The sequence below is a fragment of the Homo sapiens genome, chromosome 19, assembly GCF_000001405.40.
Source record: "Homo sapiens chromosome 19, GRCh38.p14 Primary Assembly".
NCBI lineage: Eukaryota > Metazoa > Chordata > Mammalia > Primates > Hominidae > Homo > Homo sapiens.
In genome coordinates this window covers 37,450,818-37,467,461 of record NC_000019.10, presented here as the reverse complement: position 1 = coordinate 37,467,461, position 16,644 = coordinate 37,450,818, and the positions used below count along the sequence as shown (strand labels likewise).

Below are 16,644 nucleotides of genomic sequence, written 5' to 3'. Positions count from 1 at the left end.
GGGAAATGTAGTTCGGCGCAGGAAGCAGCGGAACGATTCGATTCTTCTCAGCACCAAGTTGCGCTCCCAATCTCTCAGAGCTGGGCTCGCGGGAGGCCGCTCGTGCAAAACCTAGGCTGAGCTCCCCTGCGCGGAGCTGTGAGCCCTGGAACACCGTGGTCTGCTTCTCAGGACGCGCAAACAGTGAAGCCAGTCCCGCCCGGGTGAGCCGCGGGGGCCTCTGGGAAGCGTCGCCCCTGGTGTAACGGACCGAGACTTGTGGCGCTCTCAGCCACCGACAGCGCCGGCCTCAGTGCCGCCTCTGTCCCAGCCCGCGCCGGCTCTGCCACTTTGGCAGCGTTAAGTGTGGAATCGGGGCCTGTGTCCGCGGGCTTGGTGGTGAGTCCTCGGGAAACCGCTAGCTCTGAGCGCCGGACTCTTTGTGCTGGGTGGGAGTGGGGGCCCGCGGTCCTGGTGCCCCAATCTTTGGAGGAGGACGCCGGGCGGGGCGATGCCTGTGCTTGTGGTTCCCTGAGGCAGTGGGAGTGGCGTGTGAAGGACTGTGAGAGTCTGGCGTGAAGTGACTGTCATTTGCCAGACATTCGTCTGGCTGAGTGTGGCCCCGGGATCGTGTCCGTAAGCGGATTTCGTGGAGGCGCTTTCCCTTTTATCTTTCAGTATGAACCTGCGTGCAAACGTGCATGACAGTGGGATCTTGAATGAATGAAAAACTGTGGATACAAGGTAGGGTGTGCTTGTGGGTGTAGATGTGTGAGACTTGGCGTTTGTGCCAGCGCTGCATGTCTTTAGCTTTGGTCATTGGAAATACGTTGTTTTTTTGTTTTTGTTTTTGAGATGGAGTTTCGCTCTCGTTGCCCAGGCTGCTGGAGGGCAATGGCGCGATCTTGGCTCACCGCAACCTCCGCCTCCTGGGAAGAAGCAATTCTCCTCCCTCAGCCTCCCGAGTAGCTGGGATTACAGGCGCACCACCACGCCTGGCTAATTTTGTATTTTTAGTAGAGACGGGGTTTCTCCATGTGGGTCAGGCTGGTCTCGAACAACTGACCGCAGGTGATCCACCCGCCTCGTTCTCCCAAAGTGCTGAGATTACAGTCGTAAGCCACCGCGCCCGGCCGGAAATATGTTTTTATATGAAACATCGATATCCCCAACACTTTAATATTTATTTATTTTTAATTTTATTTTCGTGTATTAGCTACGTTGTTTTGTGTACTTACTAAACTCATTCTCCTCCTTCCCTACTCCACCCCATTTGGGGAGTGGAGTGGGGTGGAGAAAAATACAGAAAAGCTCGAAGAACAAAAATCATTCATAGTTCTACAGGCCATGCAACTACTGTCAAAATTTACTTTCCATCTTTTCACCCCCGCCTTTGTGTATACATACGTATACATTCATATGTTCTATATGTGTGCATAATGGCTTCAAAATTGCAGTAACACTATACATACAGCTCTGTAACCAACCTTTCTTGTTTAACAATGTATGATTAGTATCTTTCCATTTAAACAATCACAAATTATGCATTCATTTTAAAGTATTTCATGGTATACGTTTACCCCTGTTGATGGGTGATTTAGTTCTCTGTAGCTTCTTGAAATTATAAACTGTGTTTATCAGCAACTATTTGGCACGTGTTTAAATATACTTTTCTAAATTTTTTTGGAGGGGGAGCAGACTCCTAAAAGTAGAATTGATAGGTTAAAATGTATGCTTTTATTAAAGGTTCCCAGAACCTATCCAATTATTCTGTAAAGTTCCAATAATCTGCAGTATTATTGGCATAGTATAAGACTGCTTATATCCTCATACACTGTTGATAACAATGGATATTCTAAATAGTAGTAATCTTTGTTAACCTCATGGATATAAATTAATTTGCTCTAAAACAATTGTTTCATTACTTATTGAAGTCAAGCATTTAAAAAAATCTTTTGTAAATTATATGTTTTCTAAAGTAGTGTTCTGTTTTCAAATTTCTTTTCCAGAGTTCTTCATATATTAAGGATTCATTCATTCATAGACTCATTTATTGAAGGCTGTCTGTGTAACAGGCACAATCCTAGGTGCTTGGGATATAGCAGTGAACAAGAGACAAACCCCCTACTATCATGGTACTTACATTTTTGTGGGCTGGATAATAAACAAGGTAAGTAAATTAAGTATGAAGTATTTTAAATGGTGAAGAATACTAAGAAAAAATGTGAAGTGAGAGGATATTTAGAACTAGAGATAGGAGTCTGAGTTTTAGATGGGCTCGCCAGGGAAGGCATCCTGAAAAGGTAGTAATAAAGATATGAAGGAAGTAAAGGAGCTATTTATGCGTGAGTGAGAAAAGTTATTCCAGGCAGAGGGAACAGCAGTTGTAAAGGCTCTGAAGTGGCAACATGCCTGTTAATGAAGAGGCTAAAATAGAATAATTGAAGGGGAGAGTAGTGGGAGAGAAGAGAAGAAAGGTAAGTGGATGGGAGGAGGGCAGATCAAATTGGGCTTTATGGCCCGTAGTATTAATTTTGGCTTTTCCTCTGAGTGAGATGGGAAGCTGCTGGAGGGTTTTTGAGCATGGAAGTGATACTATCTGCTTACAATTTAAGAAGACAGCTTTGGCTGCTCTGATGAGAATGGCCTATGGGAGGACGAATGAGGAAAGAGCAGGGAGGTCAAGGGAAGAAGCACAGAGACCAATTAGGAAGCTACAATTGTGTTGCTTAATGATGGGGATACATTCTGAAAAATGCATGGTTAGACAATTTTGTCCTTGTATGAACATCATGGAGTATACTTACACAACCTAGATGGTATAGCCTCCTGCAAACCTAGGCTATATGGCACAGCCTATTGTTCCCAGGCTACAAACCTGTACAGCATGTTACTGTACTGACTACCATAGGCAACTGTAACACAGTAGTAAGACTTTGTGTATCTAAACATATCTAAACACAGAAAAGATACAGTGAAAATGCAGTATATAAAGATTAAAAATGGGCCAGGCGCGGTGGAATCCCAGCAGTTTGGGAGGCCAAGGTGGGCGGATCACGAGGTCAGGAGATCGAGACCATCCTGGCTAACACGGTGAAACCCCATCTCTACTAAAAATACAAAAAATTAGCCAGGCGTGGTAGCACACGCCTGTAGTCCCAGCTACTTGGGAGGCTGAGGCAGGAGAATTGCTTGAACCCGGGAGGCGGAGCTTGCATTGAGCTGAGATTGCGCCACTGTACTCCATCCTGGGCAACAGAGTGAGACTCCGTCTCAAAAATAAATAAATAAATACGATTAAAATTGGTATACCTATATATATATTTTGTGTGTGTGTGTGGTGGTGAGTGAATATGAAGGGTTAGGACGTTAGTGTACTCTACTGTTGACTATAAACACCGTACACTTAGGCTACACTAAATTTATAAAAACATTTTTCTTTTTTCAGTAATAAATTAACCTCAGCTTACTGTAACTCTTTTACTTCATGAACTTTTAAATTTTTTAAACTTTTTTACTCTTTTATAATAATACTTAACTTAAAACACATATTGTACAGCTGTATAAAAAGATTTTCTTTATATCTTTATAAGCTTTTTTCTATTAAAAATATTTTAACTTTTGAAACTCCTTTGCTGAAAACTAAGACACAAACATATTAGCCTAGGCTTACACAGGGTCAGAATCATCAATATCACTGTCTTCCACCTTCACATCTTGTTCCACTGGAAGGTCTTCAGGGGCAATAAACATGCATGGAACAATAAACATGCATGGTTATCATCTCCTGTGATAATAATGTCTTCTGGAATACGTCTGGAAGGACCTGCTTGAGGCTAATTTATAGTTTACTTTTTCTTAGGTAGGGATATACTCTAACAATAAAAAGTATAGTATAGTAAATACATAAAGCAGTAACAGTCATTTATTATTATTGTCAAGTATTATGTACTATTCACATGATCAATAATCAATAATATTATCAAATACTAATACCATACACAACTGTATGTGCTATACTTTTATACCACTATCAGTGCAGTAGGGGTGTTGACACTAGCATCACCACAAACATCATAGAGTGTACTTATATAAACCTAGGTTACGTGTGTAATGCATTGTGTTACGATGTTATGATGGCTATGATGTCACTAGGTGATAGGAATTTTTTAGCTTCATTAAAGTCTTATAGGACCACTGTTGTATATGTGATCTGTTGTTGGCTGAAACATTGTTACGCAGCACATGACTGTATTGTAGTACTTTAGGGAAAAGATATTGGTGATCTGGACCAGAGTAGTAAAAATGCTAAGAAGTAGTCATGTACTAGATATAATTTAAAGGTAGAGCTGCTGTGATTTGCTGACAAACTGAGGTAGAGTGTGAATGAGACAAGGTGACACAATACTGTTTTTATGAGTAACTTGAATGGGTGTGTCATTAACTGAGAAGGGGAACAATGTAGGAAAAACTGACTTGGAATGTAGTGAGATTTCAGTTTGGAATATAGTATGTGAAATGTGAGAATGCCCATTAGACATTCAAGTGGAGATATCAAGTTGGCAGTTGGATATACAAGTATGAAATTCAAAAAGAGAGACAAAAGGGAGATCTAAGATCTAGGATGGAGACATATATTTGGGAATTATCAGCATATAAATGGTATTTAACACGAGACTGAATGAGGTCACTTAGAGGGTAGGATAGATAGAGAAAGGTAGAGGCAAATGACTGATCTCTGAGTCACTCCAACATAACAAACTCTGGGAAGTAAGGAGGAATTAGCAAAAGAGACTGATGGGGACTAGCTTGAAACGTTGAAGGAAAACTAGGTGAGTGTGATATTCTGGAAACCAAGGGAAGAATGTGTTTTAACAAGAACTGTGTCGGGTGCCACATAAAATGAGGAGTGAGAAAGAAGCATGGAATTTGGCAACATGAAATTCATTTATTAGGGACCCTGAAAGCAGTGTCCGTGGAATTTTAGGCCAAAGAGAGAACTGGAAAAGAAAACGTTGGAGATATCAAGTCTAGACAACTCTTGAAGACTTTTTTTTTTTTTTTCTAAATGGAAGAAGTGAAATGGAATGGTAGCTGGAGTTAAGAGGTACACATTCTGTTTATATACTGATTGAAATGATCCGGTAGAGAGAGAAACTACAATACAGGAGAGAAAGCAGATAATATAAAAATGTCCTTAAGTAGCCAGAGCAAATGAGATCTAGTGGCAGAGTTTGGCTGAGCTTGGAGCTTGACCACGGCAATAACAGGAGAGAGGGAGAAGTACCCAGGCACAGATACAAGTAGATGGGCAGATGTGTTGGTGAGAACTTGTAAACCTTCTCTTATGATTGTTTTAACTTTATAGTGAAGTACCTAGCAAGAGACTCAAATGAGAGTGAGATTGGTGGAGGACGTGCTAGAGTTTGAGAAGAACAGGGGAAAAAAAATCACAGAGATTGGGACAGAGAATAGAGAAATTATGATTTTCAGGCACCATCAAAGACCCACTTAATGTTAGTATTTATGAATTTAAAGTGAGCCTATTCTGTGTAGCTGTGTGATTTTTCTCCTGCAGTGTTCATCCGCATAGTTGCAGCCAGACAGGCTAGGGGGAGATTTGGATTTAACCAGAATGTTGGTTTCATGAAGCAAAGAGGAATAATGTGAGAGAGAGGCAAGAAGAGTCTTAAGTTGGCAAAATAATTGATTGTTGTTTTGACTGTGGATTTTAGGCTAGGTAAGTGGAAAAGTGAGGATAGGAAGAGAGTGAAGGACAGTAAAAAATTAGTAGAATCAAGGAATGGAAGCTCCTGACAGGGCTGAAGGACTATTGGGTTGTAATATTAGAGGAAGTAAGGTGAGACATAGAAGGATGGGCTGGGCATGGTGGCTCATGCCTGTAATCCCAGCACTTTGGGAGGCCATAGTGGGCACATTGCGAGATCAAGAGATCAAGACCATCCTGACCAACATGGTGAAACCCTGTCTCTACTAAAAATACAAAAATTCGCTGGGCATGATGGCGCACACCTGTAGTCCCAGCTACTCTGGAGCCTGAGGCAGGAGAATCGCTTGAACCCAGGAGGCGGAAGTTGCAGTGAGCCAAGATCACGCCATTGTACTCCAGCCTGACAGAGTGAGACTCTGTCAAAAAAAAAAAAAAAAAGAGGATATTTTTCATATGTTTTAAAAATAGAACAGTTCTTCTTACCACTATACCGGTTTTAGAAAACATGGATGATTACTAACTAGACCCATTATTTCAGTAAGGGCTACAAAATGGCGATATTCTAATTCTGTCATTACTTCGTTTACTAGCTAGAATATTTTCCTAAAGAAAAAATTTTCCTCGTCAACTCTTTGTTCACCCTTAGGTACAGTTTGTACAGAAAAGGCAGAATAAATGGATTATTTCCCTTTATATGATTTTGAGTTATTGGAGTGGTTCCCTGGCATCTCCTAGTGGGTTGTTTTTATTATTATCACCATTATATATTCATCATTTTTAGCATATTTGATGTGTTTTAAATCACTGCACTTATTTTCTTTTTGAAGCTCAAATTTTTTTGTTAAGTGTTTGCTTGGGTGCAACCTTTGACTATCTCCCAGAATTTCTGAAAATCTGGTTCAGACAGGTTTTGCCTTTTGTTTGTTTTTTTCATTTCTAGGGAAGGATAGGCCACCAGTCTCATCCCTTGACTTTTTTTTTTTTTTGAGACAGGGTATCACTGTATTGCCCAGGCTAGAGTGCAGTGACTATTCACAGATGCAGTCATGGCACACTGCAGCTTTGAACTCCTATGTTCAAGCAAACTTCTGCCTCAGCCCCTGCAAATAGCTTGGACTACAGGTGCACGCTACCACGCCTAGCTTCATCTCTTTACTTGTAACTTGAATGTTAAAGTGGGTTTCTTATAGACATATATAGTTGTTTTTTTTTTTTTAAATGCACTCTGACAATCTGTCTTCTAATTGCTGTGTTTGGACCATTTACACTTGGTGTGATTATTTTTGTAGTTGGATTAACATCTACCATTGGCCAGGCGTGGTGGCTCATGCGTGTAATCCCAGCACTTTGGGAGGCCAAGGCAGGCGAATCACCTGAGGTCAGGAGTTTAGGACCAACCTGGCCAACATGGTGAAACCCTGTCTCTACTAAAAATACAAAAATTAGCCAGGCATAGTGGTGCATGCCTGTAATCCCAGTTGAGGCTGAGGCAGGAGAATTGCTTGAACCCAGGAGACAGAGATTGCAGTCAGCCAAGATCGTTCCACTGCACTCCAGCCTGGGCTGGAGTCTCCAGTGAAACTCTGTCTCAAAAACAAACAAACAAACAAAAAAACACTACCATCTTCCTAGCTCACTACCATCTTCCTAGCTGTTTTCCATTTGCTTCGTATGCAAATAGAAAATTTTTTTATTTCTTTGTTTTGTTTCTTCTCTTCTCCCCTCCTTTGTCTGATTACTACGGTTTTCATTGAGCATTTTATATTATTTCATTTTATCTCCTGTTTACTTTATCATTTATACTTCTTTTAAAAAATTTTAGTGTCACCCTAGAGTTTTCAATGTGTATTTTTAAGTAATCTAAATTCACTTTTGAAAATGCTATACTGCTTCATATGTAGTGCAGGAACTTTACAACAGTATTCCCAGTTCCCCCTTCTTCTCCGTTGTTATGTCACTTGTGATGTCCCTGTCATTCATTTCACTTATCCGTGTGCTGTAATCACCTAATACATTGTTATCATTATAGCCTTTAACAAACATTTATCTTTTAGATCAATTACTAATAAAAGAACCAAAAGATTTTATCTTACCTTCATGATTTTGTCTCTGGTGCTCTTCCTTTCTTTATGTAAATCCATGTTTCTGACCTATATTGTTTTTCTTCTGCCTAAATAACTTTTTAACATTTCTTACAGGGTAGGTCTGCTGGTGATGAATTCCCTTAGTTTTTGTTAGAAATGAAAGTCTTCATTTCTCCTTCAACTTTGAAGGATAATTTCCCTGGATAGAGAGAATTCTAGGTTGGTGGCTCTTTTTCATTTAATGCTTTAGATATTTCACACCACTTTCTTCTTGTTTATATAGTTTCTGACAAGAAGTCTGCTGTAATTTTTATCAGTGTTGTTTTATAGGTAAGGTGTTACTTTTCTCTGGGTTCCTTGACTATCTTTTCTTTGTTTTTTTTTGTTGTTGTTTTTTCAGTTTCAATATGATATACACGTGTGGTTTTTTTTGGTATTTATCTTGCTTAGTGTTCTTTGCGCTTCCTCAGCCTATGGTTTGGTGTGTGTCACTAATTTGAAACATTCATGGACATTATTACTTACAATATTTCATCTGTGTTCTCTTTTTTCTCCTTTTGGTTTTCTAATTGGGAAAATAGATGTCTGTTTAATAGATACATGTTTTGATATTGTCCCATGGTTTGGATGTTCTCCCATGGTTTGGATGTTCTCTTTTGTTTTTCATTCTTTTTCCTCTGTGCATTTTAGTTTGGGAAGTTTCTTTTGAAGTTTCTATTTTCAGGTTCACTGATTGTTTCCTCTACTGTGTTGAGTTTGTTGATGAGTCCATTGAAGGCATTCTTTGTTTTTATTAATATGTTTTTGATTTCTAGCATTTCTTTTGATTCTTTCTTATAGTTCGCATTTCCCTGCTTACAGTACCCATCTCTTTTTCTAACTTTCTCATAGAGCACTCAAAATATTAATCATAGTTATTTTAAATTCATTGCACAAAATTACTGCACATCTTTTCTTATATAGGTTGTGCTGGGCCATGAAACATCAAACCATATGACCAGTCCCTGCCATAAGTGGTTCACAGTCCTACTTAGATAAATCAGTGGGTGCACTGGCAGAGTGATAAATGCCACAAGATGGTTAAGCTCATGAGATACAGAAGTACAAATAGATCTACATAGACGGATATCCCAATCAAATGATAAAGTTGTTCTTAATCTGATCTCTTTAAGAACAAGAAGGTATTGGTCAAAGGCAAGAAGGAACTGATGATCAGCAATCAAGAGATAGTTTTTAGGCATGGAAACGTAATATACAGTAACTGTTAAGGAGCAATGCTTTGTATATTTTAAGAAAGGTATGTAATTATGTATGGCTGGAGTTTACTTTCAAGGAGTGAAAGATGAAGCTAATGAGGTATTCAGAAACAAAATTATAAAAGTTGTCATTGAAGTAATTTAAGGTAATACTCATGTAACAAACAAGCACATGTACCCCTTGAATCTAAAATAAAATACACTTTTTAAAAAGGACTCCATAAAGAATATAAAAATATCAGGCTGGGCATGGTGGCTCAGGCCTATAATCCTAGCACTTTGGGAGGCCAAGGTGGGCAGATCACTTGAGCCCAAGTGTTCAAGACCAGCCTGGGCAACATGGCAAAACCCCATCTTTACCAAAAATATCAAAATTAACCAGGCATGGTTGTGCATGCCTGTGGTCCCAGCTACTTGGGAGGCTGAGATGGGAGAATCACTTGAATCTCGGAGATGAAGCCTGCAGCGAGCCATGCGCTCCTCCAGCTTGGGCAACAGAGCGAGACTCTGTCTCCAAAAAAAAAGAATATAAAAATATCTAAGATTTTCCAGTTTTATTTTGTTTATTCTTTTTTTTAATACTTTAAGTTCTAGGGTACATGTGCACAACATGCAGGTTTGTTACATATGTATACATGTCCCATGTTCGTGTGCTGCACCCATTAACTCGTCATTCACATTAGGTATATCTCCTAATGCTATCCCTCCCCCCTCCCCCAACCCCATGACAGGCCCCAGTGTGTGATGTTCCCCATCCTGTGTCCAAGTGTTCTCATTGTTCAGTTCCCATCCATGAGTGAGAACATGTGGTGTTTGGTTTTCTGTCCTTGCGATAGTTTGCTCAGAATGATGGTTTCCAGCTTCATCCATGTCCCTACAAAGGACATGAACTTATCCTTTTTATGGTTGCATAGTATTCCATGGTTATTTTGTTTATTCTTAAACATTATATACCAATTCCACATTCCATCACTCTCTTTTTCTTTCATATTTCCACATACCTCAGTTTCTCTGTTACCATAAGCCAGTAAATTTTGGGCAAGGGGAAAAAAAGAAGTTTAAACAGGGGAGTGTTACTTAAGATGCATTTTATAAGTATAGAATTCTCGATTAAATCCTCAATTTATTTTAAAATTGGTTTTAAAGGATATTGTTGCGACAACTAGGGAAGTATAGAGATAATATATTTTATTGTACGAATGTTTAATATCTTTGGTGTGATAATGGCATTGTGTTTATGTAGGAGGCTTCTTAGTTTTTGGAGGTACATTCTGAAAGAGTTAACGTGAAGTTTGTGTATATGTTTTTAGAGAAGGAAAGAGAGGTAGAAAAATGTGGCAATGCTGAATATAGATTAAGGGTTTTAGAAGTATTCTTTGTACTGATCTTCCAACATTTTTGTAGTTTGAGTTTTGTGTTTTTTGTTTTTTGTTTTTTTTTTTTTGAGACGGTGTCTCCCTCTGTTGCCCAGGCTGGAGTGCAATGGCGCGATCTAGACTCACTGCAACCTCCGCCTCCTGGGTTCAAGCGATTCTCCTGCCTCAGCCTCCTGAGTAGCTAGGATTACAGGCGCCTGCCACCATGCCCAGCTAATTTTTTGTATTTTTAGGAGAGGTGAGGTTTCACTATGTTGGCGAGGCCAATCTCGAACTCCTGACCTTGTGATCCGCCCACCTCAGCCTCCCAAAGTGCTGGGATTACAGGTGTGAGCCACTGTGCCTGGCCTCGAGTTTTTAAAAGTAATAAATTTTGGAAGAAAATTTCTAGAATGTATACATACAAGTATGTTTAGAGTGAACTAGAGGGAAGGAAAGTAGGAGGCAGTTAAACTGTTTTATGAAGCTTCAACTCCCTGTCTAAAGAAAAAGTTTTCTTAATGGAGAGCTCTGTGACTTAATGTTTAACTAACATAAGTGGGAGCTTCCTTCTCAAACATACGGGCCCTAAGAGAGAAGTAGAAATGTTAAGAGATAAAATATAAGACACTTAGATGATCAGTTTAAGGGATAGATCATCCTATTCTTAGGAATTATACGTAAGAGAAAGTAGAGAAAATGAAAACAAAAACGTGCAAGAAAATTTCCTAGAAGAGAACAATAAATATACGGATTGAAATGACCGTATGTCCGTGATATATACTGACCAAAAGCTCAGTGCGATTAATGAGAAAAACCCACACCAACTATCGGAAACCAATAAGAGAGAAGAAAGGCCAAAAACTTTCTACAGAGGAAAAAAAAAGTTGGAATGATCTAGAAGTAGAATGTCAATGTACAGCAACACTAGAAGTCACTGGAGCCACAAAGTGAAGTCACATTGCTTTAAATTTCTAAGGAAAAACTGTTTTTCTGAGAAGCCTACAGTTAGCCAAATTATTATTTGAGTATGAGAGTAGAATAAAAATGTTTTCAAACATGCCAACCAAATTAAAGAGAAAACAAAGTAAAGAAGCTTTTGAGAAATTAAATTTTTGATTCCTGTAGTTGCAACTGGCTTTGGCAACTTTAGATCCCAGATAGAGCGGTACCCACAGAGTTTAATGCTGTTCTTCCAGCCATCAGTGGGTGCCCTTATATAAGTGGGTCCAGCCCTTATATCCTTCTTTCATGTGTCATTGGCCCTTTTCCCTTGTGATTTAAACATGTGTTGCAAAGTGGTGTGGTAGGACCTGGAATCCGGGGACACATGGAAATAGTGGAGAGAAGACTAGGAAAGAGTTGGGGGTGGGGGAGAAAATACTGTTGTCCACCACAGAGCCATATCCCCAGTCTGTGAGTTAGTTCACGCTAACTAGAGAATTTCTGCCTTGAGAGATGCTGCCAGGTGTAGAGCTTTCAATGAGTTTTAGGTTTTTGGCAAAACGTGGATTCAAGCAAGTGGAGTGTTAAAAAATATATATTATTATGTAGATATGGCAGTTGCTGTAAGCATTTTAACTGTATCAGAGCTCATTTCAGGAGGGAATCATGCATGATAGTCCAGAAACTAAACAAATTGATATGGCTGGAAGTAAGTTCTTTGCAGTGGAAAGAAAAATAACATTTGTTATGAATATAACATTTAGTTTGTGAATTTATTTCTAAAGTATTTCCTCAATTAGCTTAAAGTTGAGTTCCTCCAGTATACTGAATTCCGTCTTTTCTGAGGCCTTACCAATTGCTACTGCTTTGCTTGTAATGCTTTCCCACTCCCACTCCATCCTAGCTAATTTACTTGACTTTAAACTGTTATCCTAATCCTAACTTTATTTGCAAGGTATTTTTGAGCCCCATGACAAAATAAACTGAAGGACTTCTCAAAAGTTTATTGTAATGAGGGGACTTTGGGTTTCTCCTTAGGGATGTAAACAGCTGGAAAGAACTTTGCTTCAATCATTACAACAAGGAAACTACAAACTTCTACCGTACAACAAGGAAATGGACAAACTACAAAATAATTTTTCTAGGACCCTTCAGAGAACTGAGGTCACAGGGCAACCAAGTAATCTTAAATCTGGGGAAAGAAAGATGCCAGCTGAGAGAAACAGGACTCAAGCTTTACTTACCTGGGATGGACTCTGCCAGACACCATATAAGCCAGTAAGAAAATACAGCTATCAAGTTTTTAAACAAATTTTTAAAGTGTGAATGTCAGCTAATGAAAGTGTGAAACCACTGGGGGACTTGCAAAATTAGGGAGGTGGGGGTTGCAGTCTCTTGTAGGCTTTTCCTCTGGGAATCCCAACAGGCACTCATAGGGAAGATGGGAGTGAATCCTGAGAAGCCTTTCCTTGTGGTGTTAGCTGGGGGAGGGCAACAGCAGCCCAAACCCATCTTCCCTATCACTGCATAATGAAGAGCAGCAAAAACAGTTGCCTTAGGAGACTTGTAGAAAGCTATTGCAGTTTAGGAAAGGGACCTGAAAAAAAGTAATATCTCTGGGAGTAGGGGAGGAATATGCTCTAGGACTAGCACTACAGCTGGCAGAGCGGCAAGAGCACTTGTGAAGGCCACATCCCCAAGACTTAGGGATATGGTGTCTGCCTAAGACTGAGGCTTAGTGAGATCATAAGAGAATGCTATCCCTCCGTCTACTCAACCCCCACCAAGATAACAAGAATCAAATAGAAGCAATAGTAGAGTACAGCTAGGAAGCCTGCAAGAGAGATTCTCTCTGGGGAGCAGCACAAATGGAACACCCAAAACTAAGGGAGAAACATGCATTGAGAAAACAACCATGGGAAATCAACCCTTACCTTAAACACAGATATTATTAGAGGATATTATTGAAGCCTGGGGTACACTCAGTGTAACCACAGCAATGACAAACCTCAAACCCTGTCCAGCTATTGAATAGACCAGCATAACCCCCCATGTTAAAAACCTAGCAGAAGAAAAGACATACTCATGTTTAAGTGTAAAAACTTCTTAACCTTCATATCTACTGTACTATCCAAGATGTACAGCCTTCAATGAAGATTATGAGGCATATAAAAAGGCAAGAAGAAAAAGAAAAAACATACTTCAAAGAGACAAAGCAATAATCATAACTGACTTAGTTATGACATAGGTATTGCAACAACCCAACAGGAATTTAAGATAACTATGACTTATATGAAATGGACCTGATGGGTAATTGGAGCAGAGATGGAAGAAAAGTATTTAAATAAATGATGGCTGAGAATTTTCCAAGTTAGTGACACGAAACCATAGGTCCAAGAAGCTCAGAGATAAATACCAAAACAAAATTTTAAAACACATCTACACATATTATATTTAAACTGCTGGAAACTAAAAATAAAAGGAAAATCTTGAAGATAACAAGAAAAAAATTGTCTATTGAGGAACAAGAATAAGAATTACATATAGCAGATCTATTATCAGAGACCATGCAAGCAAGAAGACAAGGGAGAATCATTTTTAAAGTGCAGAAAAACTGTCAATCCAGGATTTCACACCAAGCAAAAATACCCCTTCAAAATGAAGGAGTGGGGGGTGACATCAGCAAGATGGTGGTGTAGGAAGACTTGGACCCTTCCTCACCTTCCCAAAATACTAATTCAGCAACAATTCACAGACAAATTCTGTTTGTGAGAAATCAGAAACTAATTGTAAAGGCTGTTGCATCCTGAGAGAACATGAAACAAGACTAGTGAAGCTAGTAGGGAGATTCAGGATACCCTGTTGCTGGAGATACTGCCCCTGGTACAGTACCAGACAGTCAGGAAGAGATGCCCTAACTCATCCAGGGGAGAGAAGGGGTTGGTTTGTGCAACCAGTACGCCATCTTTTCTTTGTGGGCTCTCCAGAGAATTGGCTGAAAAATTCACTAGAAGGATTCAACATCAGACTAAATAAAGCAGAAGAAAGGATTAGCAAACTGGAAGACAAGCCATTAGAAATAATTCAGTCAGGGGAGTGATAATAAAAAATAATGAAAAAGAGTGAAGAAGGCTTAAGTGGGTTATAGAATACCATCAAGCAGACTAATATATGCATTATGGGAATCTCAGGAGAAAATAGAGAAAAAGGACCAGAAAGCTTATTTTAAAAGTAATGGCTGAAAACTCCCCAAAGCTGGGGAAGGAAACGAACATCCAGATTCAGGAAGCACAAAGGACACAAAATAAAATGAAACAAACCCATACCAAGATGCATTATAGCAAATTGTCAAAAGTCAAACACAGAATTTTGAAAGCAGCAAGAGAAAAGCAACTTGTCACATACAAGGGAACATCTATAGGACTATTAAGGGATTTTTTTCAGCAGAAACTTTGCAGGCGAGAACAGAGTAGAATGATATATTCAAAGAGCTGAAAGATCAAACAGACAAAACAAACAACAATAACAAAAAAATCTCTGCCAACCCGGAATACTATACTTGGCAAAACTATCCTTTAAAAATGATGATGAGAGAAAGACTTTCCCAAACCAAAGCATCACCACTAGACCTGCCTTATAAAAAATGCTAAAGGGAGTTTTCAAATAGAAATGAAAAAACACCAAACAGCAAAAAGACAGTATAGAAAAGTATGAAACTCATTGATAGAGGTAAATATATATGTAAATACAGAATACTGCATTACCATAATGGTGGTGGGTAAATAACTTTTAATTCTACTATGAAAGTTAAAAGACAAAAGTATTAAAAATAGATATGAAATATGTTAAAAGATACACTGTGAATAGATGTGAATTGTGACAGTTATAACCAAATGTGGGCAGGAGAATTTAAAATGAAGAGTTTTTGTATGTGATTAAACTTAAGTTTGTTACCAGCTCAAAATAGACTGTTACATCTATATTTTATGTAAGCCCCAAACTAACTACATATGCCAGAAATTACCCATAGAGGCTACACAAAAGAGAAAGAAGTCAAAGCATATCAATACAAAAAACTAACAAAACACAAAGGGAGACTGCAAGAGAGAAGAGATGAAGGAAGAAGACTAACATAAAGCAACTAACAAAATAGCAATAGTAAATTCTTCCCTAGCAATAATTACAGGAAACGCACATTAAACTCCCCAATCAAGAAACAGAGTGGCTGAATGGATATATAAACAAGACCCAACTATATGCTGTCTACAAAAAGCTCACTTCAGATCTTAACGGCACACATAGGCTGAAGGTGCGGGATGGAAAAAGATGATCCATGCAAATGGTAACCAAAAGACAGCGGGGTAGCTATACATATGTCAGATAAAATAGGATTTAAGTAAAAAACTGTCACAAGAGACAAGGAAGGACATTTTATAATGATAATAGGTCAACCCACTGGGAAGATAGAATGATTATAAATATATATGCACCCAACACCAGGACATCTAATATGTAAAAGAAACACTGGCAAAATTGAAGGGAGAAATATACAGCAATACAATATAATAGGAGACTTTAATACCCCACTTTCTGTCCATTAATAATGGACAGAACTTCCTGACAAATCAATAAGGAAACATTTGACTTGAATAACACTGTAGACCTAATGGATCTGAGAGACATATACAGAACTTTTTTTTTTTTTTTTTTTTCAGATGGGGTCTTGCTCTGTCACCCAGGCTGGAGTGCAGTGGCACGATCTCGGCTCACTGCAACCTCCGCCTCCCGGGTTCAAGTGATTCTCCTGCCTCAGCCTCCCGAGTAGCTGAGATTACAGGTGTCCACCACCATGCCCAGCTAATTTTTGTATTTTTAGCAGAGACAGGGTTTCAACATGTTATCCAGGCTGGTCTCGAACTCCTGACCTCAGGTGATCTGCCTGCCTCAGCCTCCCAAAGTGCTGGGATTACAGGCATGAGCCACCGTGCCTGGCCATCTACACAACTTTATACCCAACAGCTGTAGAATACATATTCTTCTCCAGTACACATGGACATTTCTCCATAATGCATCATATATTAGATCACAAAACAAATGTTAAAAAATTTTAAAATATCTAAATCATACCAAATATATTTTCTGACCACAGTAGAATGAAACTAGAAATCAATATAACAAGGAAAACCAAGAAATCCAGAAGTATATTGAAATGAACATAATCTTGAATAACCATTGGGTCAAACGAGAAATAAAAAATGAAATTAGAAAATACCTTGAGGCAAACAAAAACACAA

General features: G+C 39.0%; 1 protein-coding gene across 10 annotated transcripts in view, besides 1 other annotated feature; it reads left to right on the top strand.

Moving 5' to 3' along the window:
* Positions 1-16,644, top strand: part of ZNF569 (zinc finger protein 569) — a 58,109-nt gene that overhangs the window by 1,804 nt on the left and 39,661 nt on the right. For 2 of the 10 annotated variants that reach the window (NM_001330482.2, XM_006723047.5), the window contains exons 1-3: positions 18-378; positions 1,989-2,149; positions 12,389-12,628. Coding sequence is in view for 6 of the 10 variants with exons in the window: in XM_006723047.5 (XP_006723110.1) it covers positions 12,600-12,628 (29 nt within the window). In the remaining 4 variants the exon portion in view is untranslated. Of the gene's footprint in view, positions 1-17; positions 724-1,988; positions 2,150-7,913; positions 8,014-12,388; positions 12,629-16,644 lie in introns of those variants that run through there. The other 8 variants (XM_017026379.2, NM_152484.3, XM_047438278.1 and 5 more) reach the window with 7 other exon arrangements.
* Positions 148-197: an enhancer, noted in NCBI's record as "active region_14547". NCBI's record gives its function as "activates an Ori minimal core promoter by ATAC-STARR-seq in GM12878 lymphoblastoid cells {active_cell/tissue: GM12878}" and the evidence as "EXISTENCE:reporter gene assay evidence [ECO:0000049][PMID:35858748]".